General features: G+C 38.3%; 2 long non-coding RNA genes across 3 annotated transcripts in view, besides 3 other annotated features; both read right to left on the reverse strand.

Moving 5' to 3' along the window:
* Positions 3,000 to 3,829: an enhancer, noted in NCBI's record as "OCT4-NANOG hESC enhancer chr4:189967637-189968466 (GRCh37/hg19 assembly coordinates)". NCBI's record gives its function as "activates a minimal SCP1, AML or CMV promoter by ChIP-STARR-seq in naive H9 embryonic stem cells {active_cell/tissue: H9 hESC(naive)}" and the evidence as "EXISTENCE:reporter gene assay evidence [ECO:0000049][PMID:30033119]".
* LOC105377611 (uncharacterized) lies at positions 9,839 to 15,353 on the reverse strand. The gene is made up of 3 exons (XR_939630.2): positions 15,067 to 15,353; positions 12,793 to 13,373; positions 9,839 to 11,757 (listed from the first exon to the last, which is right to left on the reverse strand). It is a non-coding gene; the product is annotated as an uncharacterized LOC105377611 (long non-coding RNA).
* Positions 15,057 to 16,256: an enhancer, noted in NCBI's record as "BRD4-independent group 4 enhancer chr4:189979694-189980893 (GRCh37/hg19 assembly coordinates)". NCBI's record gives its function as "activates an origin of replication core promoter dependent on BRD2, P300/CBP, MED14 and CDK7 cofactors, and independent of BRD4, by STARR-seq in HCT116 cells {active_cell/tissue: HCT116}" and the evidence as "EXISTENCE:reporter gene assay evidence [ECO:0000049][PMID:35650434]".
* LOC105377612 (uncharacterized) overlaps positions 15,498 to 22,674 on the reverse strand; it is a 37,949-nt gene continuing 30,772 nt past the window's right edge. For both annotated transcript variants that reach the window (XR_939631.2, XR_939632.2), the window contains exons 2-3: positions 17,435 to 17,488; positions 15,498 to 15,837 (exon numbers count right to left, since the gene is read on the reverse strand). This is a non-coding gene — a long non-coding RNA (uncharacterized LOC105377612). The remainder of the gene's footprint in view (positions 15,838 to 17,434; positions 17,489 to 22,674) is intronic.
* Positions 16,422 to 17,060: an enhancer, noted in NCBI's record as "OCT4-NANOG hESC enhancer chr4:189981059-189981697 (GRCh37/hg19 assembly coordinates)". NCBI's record gives its function as "activates a minimal SCP1, AML or CMV promoter by ChIP-STARR-seq in naive H9 embryonic stem cells {active_cell/tissue: H9 hESC(naive)}" and the evidence as "EXISTENCE:reporter gene assay evidence [ECO:0000049][PMID:30033119]".

Consider the following 22,674-nt stretch of genomic DNA (forward strand, 5'->3'; position numbering starts at 1 on the left):
CTCTATTTCTAGCTGGGCCATGCATCACTCTAGCATTCTTCATACCTGACATGCGTTTAGCTCAATTCACAGTCAGAGGGAAGAACTGCCCCATGATCATTCCGTTGGTTGTATTTCACTTTGGAATTACATTTCATTCTTTCAACATGATAACTTACTTTTCAAATTATTAATCTACCTTCAAAATAGTTCTTACTCGTTAAACTACTACCAGACTAAACTAAACCAAGAGAGACTGGTCATGATGGTGATAAATAGCACAGAATTGCGACTGAAAGCAATTTGTCAAGTGGATTATTAACGTGTTTCTAGAAGAAAGTTCACCTGTGAGAAGATGACTTTGTACCTCTTTCAATATGATTCAATCTATTTGCCTCCAATTCCTCCATTCAATTTCAAACTTCCTGCAGGCAGTAAGAGCCTCTTTTCTATTTTAGTAAAAAGCCTGCAAACATCAGATAAAAAGCGAGGTTGATTGATCGGCTGAACACGCAGCGCTCCATTAGGGAAGAATGCTGCCATGGTGTCCATACAGCAACCATTAAGAAATTTCGCTGGCTGTGGTGTGAACACACGTGTTTTAATAGCTTAACTTCTCTGCTGCTAACCTAGCACTGAATTTCCTCCATCAACATCAGCCTCATGCTTCACACTTTTATTGTAGCACATTTTCTCTACAGAAGTCTAATCTCATTGGAGAACATTTAAAGAAGATAGCAAATACTTTTTATAATAGCACTATATTTCTCTATTTAAATAGCAGTAGTTAGTGAGTTTTCAGCTATCCTAACGCCTATTTGCTTTTACTAAAACTTCCTCTTCATTGGAGAGCTGTGATAATGACTTATTTGGCAGAATATGCATTAAGGAACATCAGTATGTTAAAATCATCAATATTATCACAAACCGCCTACTAAAACATTGAATTTGCCCATTTCTTCCTGTTTCATTGCCTGCTCTAAGAAGGTGGTGTATAGCACACGCGCGTCCTTTTAACTAATGGAGATTGTGCAGTTTCTGTTGTTAAGAATTTGAGATTTTAAGGCCTATCATAACTGTAGTCTTATATTCGAAGTGCTTTATTTTACCCTGGTCGTTGTCACTTAGAATCATTCATGAAGCTTTGGTGTGGCCTTCCAGAAAGAGTGGCTTAACCTTTCATTTGTCGTGAAAATTAAAGAAACTCAGAGTAGTTTTACATTCACCATGTTTGAGAAAATAAAAATAATGATTTTAGCTTTTTAAATATTTTTGACTACACAATAAAATATACAGATAAAGGATAGAGTCCAGAGAATTTTAGACAAAAATCACTCTGTTAATTCTATTATGGTAATATTTAAGTCTGAATTCCTGGTTTGACTTTTGCTTACTCAGTTTCTTTTCATCACTTTAGGTCTCCCTAAATAAGAGTAATTTACTCTTATTGATAAATTGTTAGAATATAAAACGCGGTATTAGTACTTTTTCCTTTTTAGATCTATACATGCAAAATAATGTACCCATTGTAAGTATACAGTTCAATGAGTTTTGATAAAATATATACTTACATAACTCCCAGTCAAGATAAAGGATATTTCAATCACCCCACAAAGTTTTATTTTGATCCCAGGGAACTACCTATCTGTTCCCTGTCACTATCATTCTGCCTGTTCCAGTATTTCATATCTGTGCAATCCTATGATATGACTTTTTGTGTGTCTTAGTCCCATCAGTTAGAAATATGTTTTGAGATTCTTTCCTGTGGTTATATATGTCAGTTGTCAGTTCTATTCATTGGAAAGCAGTATTTCATTGTCTGAATGAACTTTTTAAAAAAATTCACCTATCTATGGATTGACAATAGAGTTTTGCAGTGCTCAGATATTAGGAATAAAGCTCTGTCAACCCTTAAATACACACCTTTTTGTGCATGCGTTTTCATATCTGCTGGATAAATGCCTAGAGGCGGAATTGCTACGACAAAGAGTAAGTGCATGTTTAATTTTGTAAGGAATTGCCAGTTTTCCTGAGTGGTTGTGCATTGTACACTCCCATCAGCAGTGTATGGGAGTTCTGTTTGCTCCACATCCTTGACAACGCACTGGTCTGTTTTACTACATGCAGATTCATCTTCGAGAGAAATGCGTTTTTGCAACCTATGTACAATATCCTGTCTTCTGGAACTATTCTCTGGTCACCTTCTGCTTTTTTTTTTTTTTTTTTTTTTTAGCATAAACTATACCATCACCGCTTCGGCTTTTTTTTAGCAATCACCTTCAGGCATTTTATGAAGATTGCCTCCGCATGATTCAGCAACCTGACATTTTTAAGTTTTCCATTAAAAACAATGTAAGTTAAAGAAAATTAAGCCATCCAGCAAAATGTTGTAAAACAATTTCATCACGTTGACCTTAACTTCCTATATTAACAAATATATTTATGCTCATGTTTAAAGCATTTCACACGAGAGAATAACTGATTTTGAATTTTGCTATGATCTCATAAACAAATAACTATTAAATATAAACCTCTTATTTCAATATAGACAAATGTTGTATATAATTCTCAAATAATGAGATATCACTCAGTAATAATCCATAAACTTAAGTAACTTCTCTGACTCTCTGTTTTTCTATAAGTTAAAAGGGAATAACACTACCAATAATAATGTCTATTCCAGAGAACTCTTAAGATGATTAAATGAGTTAATATTTATTAAGAATCTAGCAAGCCTGCTTGCTTCTAGGAAATGCTCTACACATTTAAAAATGAATAGATACAGGTAACCCAAACCATATATAATGCTGCAACATTGTCAGACATGTGTCACCACACGGAAAAAGTTAATTTCTTGGATATCTTCTAAGCCACACTTTTCAAAATGTGCCATTTAATAAGCTGCAAATATTCGGAGTTTTGTTGTTGTCCTTTATTTTACCATCTTCCCCTTGAACTGCTGTATTTACTATGCTGTATCTGGTTAAGTGGCTCTAAAGAAAAATAGAACCTAGCAAAGGCAAAATGTTATTTTATTCCTATATAAGCTAGTACTTTTGTTCAATTCTTCAAATCTGGTAGTGTTGCCAAACAAAGACAAAGAAGAACAACAGAGTTTATCTCCACTGTATTTGCTGGCACCTTTGCTTGTTTTTTTAGTTTCCTGCCCTGTCCCCATAGAATGTAATGACCCTGAGGATGTATATACTTTTCATTACAGAAGATGGAGGCCACACTCCCTCCTCTGATTTCCATAGCAGGTTCATTTTAGAATCTCCTGCAGCAAATGACCTCCCAAAGGCTGCAAGAGCATGATTATTCACATGGAAACCCACTGAGTGGGCTCCTCTCCAGCTGAACTCAGCCATTCTCATGGCACTTGCTTTGATTCATAGCAAAGGTATTCCAGGCAATGAATAACAAAAACAACAACAACAAGCCCAATCCTGTGAAAACAAAGGATTTGAACACAGGGCATTCATTAGAAAAAATTTTAAAGTGATTACCTGTCTTTTAGATTCTGCTAAGTATGTATGTTACTTACGAAAGTGCTTTTGGAAATGTGCTTTAACCATCAAGCTTAATCAGGCAGCATGTTCTCCCCGAAACTATTACGGTAAAAATGGAAAAAAAATGCTTCCTAACAGTTTGAGTTATTGAGATGACCTCATTGTTTTTCTGAATCCTATGGCCTTGGATGTTGTTATACAAGTTATTCACATTTAAACTTCAGATTCTCATTTTTAGCATAAATAATTCAGTTCCAACTTTCCTAAAGTCATTCGTGGAAGCCCCAGCTTTTAGCAAAAACAGAATGAAACAAAACAAGATAAAAACCTTCAAAAATAATAATAAACATTATTCAGAGTTCTGCATTTCTCAGACCATTCCAGCAACTCCATTAATGTGCCATTGTCTAAAGACTCTCACATTTTTTTATTACTTTTAACTCAACTTAAAAACTAAAGTGTACCTCAGACAGATAGTTGGTGCTCAGAGCCTCTGCAGGATGGAATTCTGAGAGAATGGTTTACTATTTATCTTTCATTTTAAAGAGTTCATCTGTAAAATGAACTGGGTTTGGCTTTAGTGGGAAATTAGTCCATTTTGGAACTTTTAATAAAATACAAAGAAAGAAAGCAAACGCCTAAACTGTGTCACCCATCTTTGTATAACCATGTGATTTCCTTAGTTCTGCTTTCTTATACATTTGCATTTCAATTTTTGTAGCTTCCTATACTACAAATCCCACAATATTTTATGAGCATTTGTGTTTGAGAACCTTGAAATGAAGTGCTATTCACCTCTGTTCGGTATATGCTTTATCATATTGTAATTTTTCTGCAATGCAGATAATTGCCTGATTGTTGAGTGACTTATGAATTCACTAGAAATAATGTAAATGGTTTTCCACAATGATTTTTGAAAATACATTTTACAAGAACCAAAGCAGGATGATATGTGATTGTTGGATTTTCAATATTATAGGTAAATTTATATCCTTTATTCTTACATGGTATTTCTCATTAACTGGATTTGAGTTAAACAAAACAATTTTTCTTGCATTTACATTTTGACAAATTCAATGAAGTGGGAAAGCTGGTGAACTGGAAAAATATGGAAATTGGCCACACAAGGCTGTTTAATAAAGAATGGGGGTTTTATAAGCAAATGTAAATTTTATCTCCTAAAATAGGTGTATTGTCTGTTTTGCCTATTCAGAACTCTTCTTTCTTTACCTTTCTGTTTTCAGTGTTAGGAGAAATTCATAACAATGGAGCTATGTTTTTAAAGATCAAGTTTGTGCAAGTCCCACAGAGAATTTTCATGAGAGATCATGATCATCAACAAACTACTGAGGTTTAGGAAGGTTAAGTATTTGTCACAAGGTCACACTCCTAGCCAGTGGTGGAGTCACGCAGCTTCATTTGGATGATATACTAGCTCTTGAAACTACTCATTCTTCTCTTTTTTTCTTAAACAGGACCTTCTCTTTTCTTTTACAAGCTTCACCATTCTTGACTTTCCTGATTTCTGATTTGTCTATCACATATGTTCTTGAGCATGCTAGATTTTTTTTTTTTTTTTTTTTTTTTTTTTTTTTTTTTTTTTTTTTTTTTTTTTTTGAGACGGAGTCTTGCTCTGTCGCCCAGGCCGGACTGCGGACTGCAGTGGCGCAATCTCGGCTCACTGCAAGCTCCGCCTCCCGGGTTCCCGCCATTCTCCTGCCTCAGCCTCCCGAGTAGCTGGGACTACAGGCGCCCGCCACCGCGCCCGGCTAATTTTTTGTATTTTTAGTAGAGACGGGGTTTCACCTTGTTAGCCAGGATGGTCTCGATCTCCTGACCTCATGATCCACCCGCCTCGGCCTCCCAAAGTGCTGGGATTACAGGCGTGAGCCACCGCGCCCGGCCGAGCATGCTAGATTTTTTTAAAAAAATGTTTGCCATCCATTTTATCTTTGAGTAGTTCTTTTTTCTTTTAATATCCAGTCTTTTCCCACGTACATATTTATAATCCCTCATTTACTGCAAATCCCTGCAGTTTAAAATAATATAAATATCTGCCTACAACAAAAGCCATTTCATTTCCTCCATAGGTATAGTCTGTGCAAAATTAAACAAGAATCAAATCAATATAGAGACTAGATCTTATTACTCGATAATATCTGTTTTCTTTCAAATCTAATGATTATATGATATAAAGTTTCTCATAATATTATTTGGCCATAATTTAAAAACCAAAAGTGAAGTTACACACTTTTAAGACTTACCCTCCGATTTCATTATTGAGAAAACTAAAGCCCACAGATCCTGTTGAAGGTCACACACTTAAAGGTTTGGGAAAAGAAATAACTCATTTGCCTTCCTCGTTTCAGAATTTGCTCTGCAATAGACTATCCCAGTTTTCATCGGATTATGGGTAAAATGTTGTATTTATTATCACTATATAGACATACCACCAAAAATTCTTATTAAAATAAATAATAAGCTCAGCTCATTGAGACTAAAAACTTTTTTACATCTAATAAGATTTTTAGCTTGTTTTAGAATATTTGATAAGCACATAAAATTGATATGCATCTGATTTATTAGTGAATAGATAAAAACAAACCATTTCCCTCTATGTAAAAGCCAACTTTAGTGATATTAACACTTTTACACCCAAAAGGCTAATATCCATGTTTCTAATACTTTAATACTCTAACACTTGTTTAATATCAGTTAGGATTGGAGTGGTCTATATATAACAGAAAATCCAAATATTGGCTTAAACACACCAAGTTATCCTCTCATGTAAAAGAATTCAGGCGGATTACAGCTCAAAGGTGACACAGAGGTTTCATGAATTTGAATGAAACAAGACCCTTCATTCTTATTTTTCCCCTCAACCCTCAGCATGTGACTCTCATTCACAAGATTGTGCCATGGCCCAAGACAGCTGCTGGAAACACTGCTATCATTCTGCTTTCCAGGCAGCGAAAAGGAAGGACAGGAAAAGCACAGAACGGCTCCCCTCTTCCTGAGTCAGCACTGACGCGGCCCTCAGAGATGGTCCACACAGTGCTTCTGCGCGTCGATCATTTGCCAGAACTCAGACACAGGGGTCACCCCTACCCACAAGACTTTAGAATATGATTATGAAACGTATTCTGTTTATATCAGATGCATAAAAAAGAAAAAGACAATGATATTGGGTTGACAAATAACTATCTATCTAACATGTAATTTGGAGAATAAGGCCACGTGAAACCTTAATTTGCAGTCTTAAAAAATAAATCCATCACACTAGGAAATATAGTTTTTAAAAAAGCTTAAAATTATACTTCAGAAACTGTGGTATAATTTTAGAACACCCTCTAAAAAAGTCAATCAGAAGTAAATCCTTGAAAATCTATGTGCCTTGATTGGCTTACTTGTAAAATAAAGAAATTAAATCTGCCTTTGAGATCATATAAGATAATGCTGATGATAGACATACCAGATGTGAAAGGGCTTTGCAAAATTATATTTTTAATTGTGCATGGAGGAGTTTTAAAAGAAATCCTTGATGTTTAGTTATTATTATTTTCTCAAGCATGTTTTAAGAACTGAATAAGCATCAGTACAATTTTCCGTGAATTAACATCTGTGGAAAGTCAGTCAGTCTAAGGGGTGGGACGCTATGGAGGTGGGCCCCTCATGCCCACGTTCCCTATTCATCCACACTCTATGACCATCACAAACCTCTTACAATGTTGTCTATTTTTTCCAGTTTTGAGTCAAGATTTTCTTAGCAAATTATTTCTTCCATTCAAAATCCTGTTCTATTGAAATCACATGTGACACAAATAGATTGGGTTATCAGCAAGCTAATCATAGACTGTTGCTTAATCAGCCTTTTTGAACTAGAGCCAAATTAAATGGCAACACTTAGTCATGAAGCGAAATGAAATGACTGATTGTGTTATGATAAGACTTCAGGTGTTTCACTATAAAAACTGCACTCGGGTGTCTCGCTGTAAAAGCTGCACTCGGGTGTCTCACTATAGAAACTGCACTCGGGTGTGTCACTGTAAAAGCTCCACTCGGGTGTCTCGCTGTAAAAGCTGCACTCGGGTGTCTCACTATAGAAGCTGCACTCGGGTGTCTCGCTGTAAAAGCTGCACTCGGGCGTGTCACTATAAAAGCTGCACTCGGGTGTCTCACTGTAAAAGCTGCACTCGGGTGTCTCGCTGTAAAAGCTGCACTCGGGTGTCTCACTATAGAAACTGCACTCGGGTGTCTCGCTGTAAAAGCTGCACTCGGGTGTCTCACTGTAGAAACTGCACTCGGGTGTCTCACTGTAAAAGCTGCACTCGGGTGTCTCACTGTAAAAGCTGCACTCGGGTGTCTCACTGTAGAAACTGCACTCGGGTGTGTCACTGTAAAAGCTGCACTCGGGTGTCTCACTATAGAAACTGCACTCGGGTGTCTCACTATAAAAGCTGCACTCGGGTGTCTCACTGTAAAAGCTGCACTCGGGTGTCTCACTATAGAAACTGCACTCGGGTGTCTCACTATAGAAACTGCACTCGGGTGTCTCACTGTAAAAGCTGCAGTCGAGTGTCTCGCTGTAAAAGCTGCACTCGGGTGTGTCACTGTAAAAGCTGCACTCGGGTGTCTCACTATAGAAACTGCACTCGGGTGTCTCACTGTAAAAGCTGCAGTCGAGTGTCTCGCTGTAAAAGCTGCACTCGGGTGTGTCACTGTAAAAGCTGCACTCGGGTGTCTCACTGTAAAAGCTGCACTCGGGTGTCTCGCTATAAAAGCTGCACTCGGGTATCTCACTATAAAAGCTGCACTCGGGTATCTCACTATAGAAACTGCACTCGGGTGTCTCACTGTAGAAGCTGCACTCAGGTGTCTCACTGTAGAAACTGCACTCGGGTGTCTCACTATAAAAGCTGCACTCGGGTGTCTCACTATAAAAGCTGCACTCGGGTATCTCACTATAGAAACTGCACTCGGGTGTCTCACTGTAGAAGCTGCACTCAGGTGTCTCACTGTAGAAACTGCACTCGGGTGTCTCACTATAAAAGCTGCACTCGGGTGTCTCACTATAAAAGCTGCACTCGGGTGTCTCACTATAGAAACTGCACTCGGGTGTCTCACTGTAGAAGCTGCACTCAGGTGTCTCACTGTAGAAACTGCACTCGGGTGTCTCACCATAAAAGCTGCACTCGGGTGTCTCACTGTAAAAGCTGCACTCGGGTGTCTCACTATAAAAGCTGCACTCGGGTATCTCACTATAGAAACTGCACTCAGGTGTCTCACTATAAAAGCTGCACTCGGGTATCTCACTATAGAAACTGCACTCAGGTGTCTCACTATAAAAGCTGCACTCGGGTGTCTCACTATAGAAACTGCACTCAGGTGTCTCACTGTAAAAGCTGCACTCGGGTGTCTCACTATAAAAGTTGCACTCGGGTGTCTCACTATAAAAGTTGCACTCGGGTGTCTCGCTGTAAAAGCTGCACTCGGGTGTCTCGCTGTAAAAGCTGCACTCGAGTGTCTCACTATAAAAACTGCACTCGGGTGTTTCACTGCCATATCAGGGCTCTGAGAACCTCAGCACAAGATACTTGGCAACTTTTTAAGTGATTTAATCATTCAAGCAGTTCTATAGGATAAATTGGAAAACGATAAGGTTTTGGTACTGAATTGTACTCCTTGGCCATCAATTGGTTAACACCTCCTTTCTTCATGTTATTCTATTTTAATATATCCTGTTGCCTTCATTAATGACATATCCTGAGAATACTTCAGTTATGAAATATATAAATTTAAAACAAAAATGTCTTAACATCTCTATTCAAATGAAAAACATACTTAACCTACATGAGGTTAAAGGCAAATAGGTTTTTGTTAACTGTTAAATCTAAATGGTCTCAAATGAAAACTAATGAAATGTAAATATCAAGGAAAAAGAAACGGCTCCACAATTAACTATCCAGGATGGTTTCAAGAGAGTCAATCATGAATCCTAAATGTTCACTAAGTAACTTATAACACTGAATTGTTATAAGTGTGATAATTGTGTTATAAGTTACTTAGTGAAGCTCTAAGATTAATCAAAGCTCTAGATTATCAAACATTACAAATTAACTACTTCCATTAGCCACAAAATTGTCTTCAAAAATGAATCTTAGTCATTTGTATTTCTGTAAACATTCTATGAAGTACATTAGAAAGTATTAGAATATCTGCCACTCACTGTGGGTGGGTGTTTATTCTGCTTTTAATTTCTCACATATCAATTTAGGTAGACCTCATTCATTTTCCTTAACTCCAATAGTGAATATAACCAGAATTGTATGTATCATGTTCAAATTTAGAACCCAATTGAATAACAGATATTATTTTTATGTAATAAGTGCTTTAGTAAACACAGCAGCTGTGCATTTTCAGATGCTCCATATTTACTATATTTGAGTTGTGAATCTGTAGGCTAGATATAGAGTTGATGATCATTATAAATATATTTACAGAACTGCAAATCACAGAAAATGAACAGCCCGGCCATTATCCCTCTAGAAAAGGGGGTTCTAATAAAATTCCTCTCCTGTTCTTACAGGGTACACATGCAAAAAAAAATCAGCTAATTTCTATACTTTGTTAATTAATTGTTGACACTGGTTCAGAGTAGGGTTCACTGTTGTTTTCTCCTTTCCCCTCAGAACTTTGACATTTCCCCAGTGTAAACGCAGAGATCTACTTTCATTCCTGTCATTTTTTTGTTCCATTCTTTTCTCTCCCACATTGTCCTTTGTTACTGATCTTCTAAGCCCTTGACACACCCACTAGAATGAAAAGCAGGGCCTTTGTCATTTTCCCACTGCTCTGTCCCAATCCCCGTGCCATGCCTGAAACGTCGGGAGTCCTTGATACCTATTGGTGGAATGTAGGGTTAATCCGAACATTGTCTTGAGCACTGTGTCTTACTCGGAATTGCTTCCAGGTGGTGTCCTGCTGTCTTCTGAGCAATAGAGACTCCACATGGCTGCCTGATGGCCATTTCCAAAGGCAATCGTGCTGCTCTCCTGCATAAAGTCTCTCAGACGAGTCATCACAGGTAAGAGAAAGGGTCAAGTCCGTGGCATGGCCTCCCATGTCCCTCACGATCAAGTGTCTGCTCTATCTGCCTTGTCTCCTCTACTCTCCCTCTCCACTCGCCTCAGCTCACATTCACCATCTTCCATCTTCTCAAGTGCTTCACATTGTCCAAACTCCTGTCCTGGAAAAAGCTCCTCTCTTGGTTCAGATCCTCATTTCTAGTCCCTGAACTTGAGATTTCAATTCAAATGTCATGATCTCAAAGAAACTTTTCAGCTATTTTCCAGAGTGTATTAGGATTCCCAAGTATAGATGCTCTACAATTAACGCTTTTTCTTCTTTGCACTTATCACTTACATTATATCTTGGTAGCATTATTTGATTAAAGTCAGTTTTCTTTCCACTAAGTTTTAAAGCTTAATGGAAATAGAAACGATCTCTATTTATATCTCCACTACCTGGTGTGGAATAAGGGCATAATAAGTATTCAAGAAGTAATTTTAAAAATTTAGAAAATGCCATGCACTTAGTCATTTGAGGTTGTATTGATACCTTGCAGAAGCCTCACTGCCATCTCTTTGTATAGTATTTACATTGGCTTAGGAAAATATACAAAATGTCAACTTACAAACATCTTATTTTACCCCAGAGAGCCTTTTCAATGTGCTAAATTTGTTAAATATCACACAACATGAGAAGCTACCTCATTGTTTAGCACTGAAGAATGTGCTTAATGCCAATGAAACAGAATTCACTCAAGAGCCCCGACCACATTAGTGATGTATATAATTGCTATGCTTCTGCAAGATAATCTTGCATAAATGGTGAAGAGCATGGATCAGTTCGGGTAAACAGCATTATTTTTATAGAACCACAACAAAAATTAACCTTTCTTAAATTATTATTTGCGTAGGTAACTCATCGGTTTCTATTATCAACAATAATGTTGAAAATTTACCCTAGTTATTGATATGTAATTGATTGCTATTACATCCCATCATACACACTAACAAAGTTTCTAGATCTCCTCCTCCAAAGTGTACCTTCCATGAATCCTCCACTCTCCAGCTGCCTTATTCAAAGTCCAGGCTTGATCATGGCTCCCAGAAGGCGTCTCACACTGAAAGCCCACGAGTGTATTCCACAAGGACACCACAGCCTTTCTTTTTAAAATGAATTTTTTCAAACATAAGGAAGGAACTTTCTGTAATGTAATGGTGAATATAAGACTGAGTTTTTATGTCAAAACTTATCATATTTTATGCTTATAATTGGTGATATTTGTGGTATATGAAGTATGCATCAATGAAACATTAAGTAAGACATTTGGGTCCAAATGGTCTCCGCATTTTTCCAAACAGTGGCCCATATAGGTGCTAACAGCTGGAAATGGTTAGTGAGGAGACTCCCGGATGACCAGGAACAAGAGGCATCTGCAGAGTGCTGTGTTGCATGGGTCAGGTCAGGAGGCGGGCGGTGGTGCAGCTGTGTGGTGCATGCTATAAAACCCCACCACTGCAGGAAGTGCCAGGTGCCCCCTCAGCGTGAAGACTTGTATGCTGACAACAAGCAATGATAGACTCTTCTAATAAAACAAAACCCAGTAGCCAAATGAAATTTCACATAAAAATCCAATCCTGACACTTCTTTTGATATGTTGTTTGTATCCTCTGAAGTATTAAATAACAAACCTGAGAGGGAATTTTTAAACTGCTTCTATTTGGAGGGGTCCTGGGCTCTTCTGCTGGTTCAGCCTGCCCTGTGCTCATCACCCAGTTGCATCGCCAGCCTGCTCTCTGTAGACTGAATCCATATGCCCTGTCTACACAGCCAAACTCCATGCCCTCAAAGGCGTTTCTCCCCTCTTCACCCACTTGTGTACTATTTCAGCTGCCTGAGGCGCTCTTTCCATTTCTACATGACAAAATGCTTTCTGCTCTTTAGGACCGAACTCAAATGCCCCTGTGTGCCTCTTACTGCAATCACAGACTTACAGCCTCATTTCATGTATTTAACATTGTTACAAGACTTGGTTCATATTCTGTCTTATTTATTTTGCATTCTGATACCACTTTTTAATTTTTTATGAGCTCCTTCCTTTATTTTTGTACATATAAGTAACTGATTTTTATCTCAATGCAAAGACTGAAGACAAGTGGTGGAGGAAAGAATCATGTATGTTCTTGAGGGACATCATTCACCATCCCTGTTATTAATCATTTTAATGTATCCAACTCACCTGGTCCACTTTAGAATGGCCTCATGGCATTAACTTCTCCTGCTCCCCAAGCAAGAACAAACTCGCAGGTTTATTTGAGTGTTTTCTTTGGCCATGTAGTTGTTAGCAAGCACGTGTATTGCCTTTCATTGAGCCAAAAAAGAACAAGAAAGGTTTTACTTCCTGATTGCTTTGTTATCCACGCAATGGGTGATCATTCATTATGTTCAGTAAAGAAGGAGAGTGGATGTGACCAGCTTCCAACAACTTGTATCTATTGTGGCAGCAAACACTATTACTGGCTAAACTCCCGAGAACATGGCACTGCTATAAAGGATGAGCATTCGGAGAGCTAGAAATTTAATTCCAGATATACAAGCAATAATCCTCAAGCTGTCCAGCTTCTGCTAATACAAAATGACATGTCTGGGAAGGAAACATTCATTCCTCTCCTGGAGCATTACCAGTGTGTTTGAGCTGTTGAAATGTTCTATTCCATGCAATGACCAAGGATGCTTGTCTGTGCTGTCTTCGGTGCCCAATCCCTTAGGCTGGAAGGAAGTCATCTCTCCCATGCCGTCCTCACAACAGGGACCCACTGGCTGTATAAAAATAAAAATTATAAAAGATGGCCACAAAAGAAACATGAAAAAATTGATTTAACAACGTAATCACAAGGGATTATAAGATGTTAAACAAGCCACAAGTATAAAGGTTTGAGGGAAAAACGGCTGGCAAGCTACACACAATTCGTGCATGTTTTCCCAAGATCAACTCCACTGTTATTAACCATCTCATAAAGAATTATATGTACTGTGGTATCTACAGATGATTATGCCATTCTTACTCTTTCTGGTAAAATAATTTATCAACTGCTTCCAAAATCATTCAGTAGAACATTTTTTTCATACACATTATATTACCTCTTTTCATACACATTATATTACCTCTTTTCACGTATTTAAGTACATGCAGATTGATATCCTAATTTTAGTAATACTTTTTAATGTAACTTTTCATCTTTATTATTATATCTTAGGATTTGTTGGACAAATAGTGTGATTTTCCTGGTAGCAAGACGTGGTCAACATGGTTCTTGGTCTGGTTCTTGGTCAGCAGGAGGGCATTGATGGTGGGTGATGCAATGGCTTGTTAACTGAGCCCACAACTTTTTTATTGTCTCTCTCTTATAGGCCAGGCACTGTCTAGGCATTGGGTTTGGTTATAATAGGGATGCCTGTGTGAAAACAATGGTACAAATGACCTCAGGCCAATAGAAACACGTTGCTAAATCTCGATCATGTCAAAATTTCATACTTCAGGAGTTGTTGACATCTGGAAGGCCTGCCTATAAATCCTGGATCCTTCCGTGCTAAGCCAAGATTCAGGTAAGCATAAAGAGCAATTTATTGTTATTTATTGTTTATTGTGTTAGAGCAATTATTTGTGTTATTTATTGTTATTGTGTTAGAGCAATTTCTGGACTAGAAAGCCTTCTAGAAAAATAATTTTTTAAATGGGCATAAGCCATTTGTATAGTCAAATAGGTGGTCTAACGCACATAGGCACCTAGCTGAGGGGTGAGTGGGGCTGAAATCCAACACTTCTCTGCCTTCCGAGTCATGTAGCCTGGGACGGGGTTAGATCTTTCCAGAGAAAAAGACACCCTTAAGAAAACTGCATAATACAGATATATACATGAAGGCATTCTCTAAGTGCACAAGACACTGCCCTCTGCCCTCCCAGAGCTTTTTTCGGATTTGCAGAAAGATTCCTGACAGGTTAGTAGTCTTGGCTTTGTTCGTTTGCTGAAGTTTGCAATATGCTGAAGATAGTTGGCATTGGAGGTTAAGAATCAGAATGGAACCGCTGAGTCAAGATGAGAAAGTGGCTCCCACTTGCGGAAGCACATTGAATTCTAGAAGCTTTCTCTGGGACCACCAGGTCCAGGTAAGTTTTGAAATAAGCCATTGAAGCCACCACAAAGACACCCAATAGTAGGAGCTGGGGCACTATTGAGAGACAGGACCAGCTGGATTTCCTAGGCCGACTAAGAATCCCTAAGCCTAGCTGGGAAGGTGACTGCATCCACCTTTAAACAGGGAGCTTGCAACTTAGCTCACACCCAACCAATCAGGTAGTAAAGACAGCTCGCTAAAATGCTAATTAGGCAAAAACAGAAGGTAAAGAAATAGCGAATCATCTATTGCCTGAGAGCACAGGGGGAGGGACAATGATCGGGATATAAACCCAGGCATTTGAGCCGGCAACAGCAGCCCCCTTTGGGTCCCCTACCATTGTATGGGAGCTCTGTTTTCACCCTGTTAAATCTTGCAACTGCGCACTCTTCTGGTCTGTGTTTGTGATGGCTCAAACTGAGCTTTCGCTTGCCGTCCACCACCGCTGTTGTCTGTCGTCCCAGACCCTCCCTTGACTTCTCCCCTCCGGATCTGGCAGGGTGTCCACTGCGTTTCTGATCCAGCAAGGCGCCTGTTGCCACTCTGGATCAGGATAAAGGCTTGCCATTGTTCCTGCATGGCTAAGTGCCAGGGTTTGTCCTAATTGAGCTGAACACTAGTCATAGGTTCCACGGTCCTCTTCCGTGACCCAGGGCTTCTAATAGAGCTATAACACTCCCCGCATGGCCCAAGGTTCCATTCCTTGGAATCCATGAGGCCAAGAACCCCAGGTCAGAGAACACGAGGCTTGCCACCATCTTGGAAGCAGCCACCATCTTGGGAGCTCTAAGAACAAGGACCCCCCAGTAACACTATGACGTCCGCAAGGAAATACAATAAGGAATGTCCTCAATAGGAATGTGCGTAAGGGCTTGCTGCTGCCACTTAGCACTGGTCTAGGATCTGGGACAAGGCAAAACCTGTGCATGGCAAGCTGACAGATCTCGCTGAGGAATGCTCTAGGAGGGCTGGGGGCCTGAGAAGGGTACTGAAAGCCCAGGTCTCTCTCCAGGGTGCCTCAGACTGCCTTCAACAGCTGTACAGCAGCTCAGACCCAGTCCATACTTCAGTATTGCTCTAGGTTCTGCATTTCAGCACTCCAGCAACTCTGTGGAAAAGGGTAAAGCAAATTTCATGAGAATACATTCAATTCCAATTTATCAGTACATAGTCTGGCTGCAAGCGCTTCTATAAATTCGTGTAGAACACAATTCCATGTTCCAGCCCTGCAACACATACAAAATCTTTTCTTCTTCATTTAGTTTTGGATACACAGGCTGTAACTTCCTTTCTCACATAAAACAGCTTTAAGAAGTAATCTGAAGTTTTAAATATTTCTTTCACATTTGCCTGATATGGTGCTAAAAGTCGCCAGTCATGGGTTCCTACCATCGCTGGTTTGCTTTGCTGACTATCACAGACAATGGCTGGATTCTACCCTGCCTATTCCCAAACACGAGGACACTAGTAAGATAAAGCATCAATAGCAAAAAGAGCTTATTAGCAGCCCTGGGAAAACAGACTCAACATGCATGCCTGGTAGGTGAGTACGCTGCTGCATAAGGGACAGTGTCATTCATTTTTTTAATTTCAATCAACAAACATGTTGAACTCCTCCTATGTACTAAGCATAATCTCTATCTCCACAAAACTATGCAATTTAACCTTCTAAGAAAAATGCCATTTCCATGGATAACATCGTTACTTCAGACAAAACCTTTTAGGTCTCTTCCTCACAGAACAACAGGGTATGCAACCCATTGTCAGAATGCCTTGTTTTCTACCAGCCAAAATCACCCTCTTGTAAAATGCCTTATGTGAATCAAAATCACTCTTCGACAAGTTTTAAAATGCAATTACCAACATCACCTCAAGGCAGTCATTTAATCCCTGCATGCCTTAAATACTCTGCAAAACAGGAGAGTAATGCTGTTGTGAAGTCGACTGAGCTGAAATAAGAATGCTTCAAGGTAGGAGACTCTACTGTTGTTATTCTAAGTTAGGAATTCTATAGTAGCCTCACAGCTTCCCTCTATGTCTCCAGCACAGCAATAAAAAATTCTTTATAGATGGAAATGATTGCTGAGTAGAGTCTCTGGGGGAAGAGCTGTGGTTTGCTCTTCTGCCAAGCAATAGCAATATCAAGATGTCCCCACAAGGCATTAGCTCTTGAAGTGAGCAAGTTATGGTTCCCAGGGGCCTCCTGTACTTGATGGATGCTCTCAGTGTGAAGTTGTCTCCAGAGACCTCCCAGAGGTCTCAGAACATGGCAGGGTCAGTGTCTAACCTATTATGGACAGAATCTTTACTAGAAAGGCCCAAAAGCTGTGTGCCTGGGCGTGAGACATCCAGCTCATGCCGAATGAGCTGAATCATTCAAGGATTGATGTATCTCTTTGAGGAAAGCTAGCTTTCCTGCATTTCCTGCACCTCAGGTTTTAATTCAGGTAAATTGCTTCCCCATTTATAGCTCTGAGACCTTTGGGACCAAACCTCATGAGTTCCATTTGCCAAGTGTGGCCCACATTTCACCTCTGTCTTTGATAATCTGAATGTCAGAATTATACTCCAGATTAAACTCTGTTAATAACCCCAAATTCAGAGCAAGCAAGGGCTAACATCAACTTTGATAATCATTTAATATTAAGTCAAGAAGTTCCATGACTGATATCACATGTGTATCAATTGCTGCACACATGGCTTACCCTTTATTTCAGCTCTCTGGATATCTGCAGTGACAAATTTCATGTCACTGACACCTAAAATGAGAAAAAATAGTTTTTTTAATTCACTGTACTGGGAATAATCTCTCAAACAAGCAATGAATGCATTTTATAGAAAATGAACCATATAAATATATACATATGTATAAAATTAGAAATTTAGTTTGTTTCTAGTTACTCTGTGTTGTTATATTCTATTCCTTAAAACATGGTTGAGAGACTCCTGGAACTGATTTCCTGACTCACTCAAAAGTTGAGACCAACAGTTTGATAAGAACTATAGATAGTGTGAAATTTGCAGAATGCTGCAGGATGCTGAAAAGTCCCTCTGGCAAATAACATTTATCATCATTGAAGACAATTATGAGGCCATAAACAAAAGACAATGCTCTAGAAACTACTGTTAAAAAAGCACACCTATAAGCTGAAGTGGCTGCTAGTACAGGCTCCCCAATTATGTGTGCCACCCCTGGCCCTTTCCTTGCTAATCAGTCATCATATTCTGTTTTCTTGAGCTTACAAAAGACTTCACATCCATTTTCAATGCTGCATCCCAGGCAGTGGCTACTGGTTCATTGTAAGTGGCCAGAAAAACAAAACGCAGTTGTCATCTGATTCCTAGTCCTTTCTTATGTTGATTTTAAGTAGTTTTTCAATTGACACTTCTAGATAAATGAGAAACTTTGGGCATAGCACAGAGAAGAGCCAGGTGACCACGAAGAATCTAAGGGGCCCCCATCGAGCTGGTGAGGGCTCTGGGTGTAGTGTTGAACTGTGCTACGAGAAACTTCACAATATTGACCGGTTCCAGAATGGAAGTATGGAAACACATTGGTGTCACTCCCCTCATCAGAAAACCAAAAGCAAATAGACAGTGTCATGATTAAAAATAGTAATAGCATAGAATCCAAGTATGAGGGTGAAACAGTTCCCAGGTCCATAGAGAAGTAAAAAGCTCTGAGCAGATGGTGAGAGAACTGGGCTTTCATATCTGTGACATTTCTCCCCCTAATCTGTACAACACCATGTAAGTGAAAAATTTTCCGAGACTCATATTTTCTACACGGGAAAAAGTGAGATAGAGGTAAACAACCAGCTTCCCATCCATCCTGGGTTTCCTAGCAGGAGACCTATTCCTGCCTCAACCCATAGGAAGCATTGGGAGTGCCTGAAGGAGAAACATCCCTGAGGGCAACCAAAGACAAAGTGGGGAAGATGGGACTGTCATTCCCAGCCTTGGAAACTCTGTGCTGTAACTTGGGCAGAGAAGACACCAAATCAGAGCAGCTGCTCACCAGCACCACACTGTGGGAGATATGTTCCACAGGTCCCCTGGGCATGAACCCCTAGCCAGCCTTCCCACCACACTGCTGGGATAGCCCCTTTATGACCTCCTTAATTCAGAATGGGCAGTACTCTAATCACTTACTAGAGTCAAGGCAAACATGGGCCTATGGCACTCTCTAGTACCTATAAAGAGGCAGCAACCTAGTGGAAAATAAAAAAGAAAGAAATTCAACAGATAAATTAGAAGGAATCTCTAAGCAAACATATCCAATAAAAACCAAAACAAGCCACGTAGAGAAGACTGGAAAAAAATAACTAATCCGTCAATACAAAGACATAGATGTAAATTCAGAATCCTGGAACTGAGAAATACATTTACTAAACTGAAAACTTTATTAGAGGCTCTCAACAGCAGAATGACTCAAGCAGAGAAAAGAGTCAGTGAGCCTAAAGACAGGCTATTTGAAAATACACAGTCAGAGGGGGAAAAAAAGGAACAAAAATCATGAACAAGTTATAGAAAATAACTTCAAAAGACTAACTCTAAAAATTACTGGAGATCAACAGGAAGCTGAGCAAGAACAAGGAATAGAAAGCTTACTCAAAGAAATAACCACAGAAAATGTTCCAAAACTTGAGAAAGATACAACTATTCGGGTACATGAAGGTCTGAGAACACCAAACAGGTTTGACCCAAATAAGACTACCAAAAGGCATGTAATCAGGCTCTTAAATGTCAAGAGTAAAGAGACAACCCTAAAAGTAGTGAAAGAAAAGAAACAGATAAAATATAAAGGAACTCAAATTCATCTGGAAAAAGATGTCTCAACAGAAACTGTAAAGGCTAGGAGTACGTGAGATGACATTTTCAAAGTGTGGAAGAAAAAAATGGCAATCAAGAATTGTTTATCTAGCAAAGCTATTCTTCAAGTATGAAGGAGCAGGTCTTTCCTAAACAAACAAAATCTTACAAGTGTTAAAAGCAAGGTCTTCCATCTAACACAAAACAAAAACAAAAACACTAATGTGCACAAAGAAGCATTTGAATGTATCAAATGAACTGTAAAAGTACATAGACAAACTCAGGATACTCAAACACTGTAACTGACATGTGAAATCCACTCATAATTCTAATATAAAACTCAAAAGACAAATCAATCAAAACCAGCAATAGCTACAGTGACCTGTTAAGAGACAGGCAACAAAAAATAGCTAAATTGAGATAACAACAAAAAGTTAAAACATAGGGAGGATTAAGTTAAAGTGTAGAAATTTTTTCTTCAGTATTTTGTTTGAGTCTATACTTTCTATTGCAATCTAAGATAAGCTGCCGTCTCTTTAAAATAACTTATTGTAAGATATTTGATATAAGCTTCATGACAGCCACAATGCAAAAACTTGTGATAGATACACTAAAAATAAAAAGCAATGAATTAAAGTGTACTACCAGATAAAATCACTCAATTGCAAAGGAAGATGATAAGAAAGAGAGAAAGGAAGAGAGGAGCTACAAAACAACCAGAAAACAAGCAAAAAACCCCCCAAAAACCAAGCAGTAGTAAGTCCTTATGTATCAATAATTATACTGAATGTAAATGGACTCAATTCTCCAGTTAAAAAAAAAAAGAGTGTCTGAATGAATAAATAAACAAGACCAAACTATGTAATTTACAAGAGATCTACCTCACCTGATCATGCCACTGCACTCCAGCTAGGTGACAAAACAAGACCCTGTTTCTAAAAAAAAACTCACTTATAAAGACACGTATAGACCAAAAAGTAAAGGGATGGAAACAGATATTCCATGCAAGTTGAAATAAAAAAAGAGCAGAAGTAACAATGCTTTTATCAGATAAAATAGCAACATGTCAAAGACTATAAAAATAGACAAAGTCACTATACAAAAATAAAGGTGACAATTCAGCAAGAGGATATAACAATTCTAGATATCTATGCACCCAACACAGAACACCGAGGTATATAAAGCAAATAGTAATAGATCTAAGGGGAGAGACAGACTGCAATATAATAATAGTGGGGAAATTTAATGCCTGCTTCTTAGTGATAGACGATCCTCTAGACAGAAGACCAACAAAGAAACATCAGAGTTAAATTACACACTAGACTAAATAGGCTAACTCACACCTACAGAACATTTTACCTAACAGCTGTTGCATACATATTCTTTTCATCAGAACATGGAACATTCTCCAGAATAGACCATATCTTAGGCCACAAACGAGTCTCAACAAATTCATGAAAGTAGAAATCATATCAAGTATCATTTCTGATCACCATGGAATAAAACCAGAAATGAATAATAAGAGGAACTTTGGAAATTACACAAATATATTGGAAATTAAACAATGTGTTCCTGAATAGAGTTTAAGGTGATGGATACCCCAATTTCCCTGGTTTCATCTTCACACATTATGTGAATGTATCAATTTATCACATGTATCCTGAAAATATGATTATCTATTAGGTATCAATTAAAAAATTTTAAAAACTGTACAGTATTGCCCCAAATGGCTCCATCCTGCATTCTGAGATTCCTGCTCCCCAAACTCTAATCAAACACAATTATTGTTTTGTGAAAATTGAGCTTGACAAATGAGCTGCCAGAGATGCTTATGCATGCTCCATAAGGATGCCAGATGTTTCTTCATTATCTATTTCATTCCAAGCCTGCTTTCCTTTTGATATCACTCTGATTTTGACCTTTCTACCCATAAATATGTTTTTCTTCAGGCTATCCCTTTATTTAAAACAACCCTCCCTACTTTAAAGATCCTCTCTCCTCATCTTGGGTAACTTTCAGGGCATGACTTTTGCGGGTAGACATTGCTACACATTTTATTTCAAGATTCCAAGGTTTTAAAACTTATTAATTACCTTATGAATGTCCATCAGCTTCATATTAACCACTTATATCTGCATACAATTCTAAGGAGGGTTAAGTTCCAGGGGTGTACAACATGCTGAAATATCTATAAATACTGCCTACTTATGTTTTTATGGTTTTGAGTTTATTTTGACGCTTGCCTTGGAGGCAGATTTTATATCATCTTCTTCTTTTGGTAAAATTTCTATATGGTAAAATGCAAAGAACCAAAATATTCAATTCAATAAATTTTGACGATTTACACAATCAAATAACAAATACCCGAAAAATATACAAGATATCTCCATTTTCTCAGAAATTTCCATTATGTCTCCTTTTTGCCCTCTCATAAGCAGACACTGATTTAATTTCTGTCATTATAGATGAGTTTTGCATTTTTTTGAACTTGATGTAAAAACCATAAAATTCCATGCATTAATTTTTATCTAGCTTCATTTACTTAGTACTTTTAAAATTTACTCATGTTGTTGTACAGAACAGGGCTTGTACTCTTTCATTGTTGAAAAATATTGATATCCATTCTCCTACTGAGAAATACCTGGGTTGTTTCAGTTTCTGGCTATTGTAAATAAAAATTCTAGCAAAATATTGTGCAAGTTTTTGTGTATGTCTGTGTTGACATGTTTTTATTTCTCTTGAGTAAATACGTAGCAGTGAAATTGTGACACGAGCTAGATCTATGTTTAACATTATAAGAAATGGCTGAATAGTTTCTAAAGTATAGCATTTTACACTCTCACCAGCAACATGGTAGAGTTTTAGCGCCATACATTTTTGCTAAAACTGAGTGTTGTCCATCTTCTGACTTTTACCTACTCTGGTTGTGTTAACATCTATTGGTATTACTCTTTCAGGGCATTAGTTAGCATAGGGAGTGTTGCATGGGAATCTAGCCCACTATATTGAAAGACAATATTCAGAGCTTAACACATTCATAAATATTAATGAGAAAGGCAGAAGTGGTAGCAGAAATGTTAAAATAAGTTTTTACAACCATAAGTGAAAATGCCTGTATGTCATGCCTTTATAC

This window comes from Homo sapiens, chromosome 4 (assembly GCF_000001405.40).
Source record: "Homo sapiens chromosome 4, GRCh38.p14 Primary Assembly".
Taxonomy (NCBI): domain Eukaryota; kingdom Metazoa; phylum Chordata; class Mammalia; order Primates; family Hominidae; genus Homo; species Homo sapiens.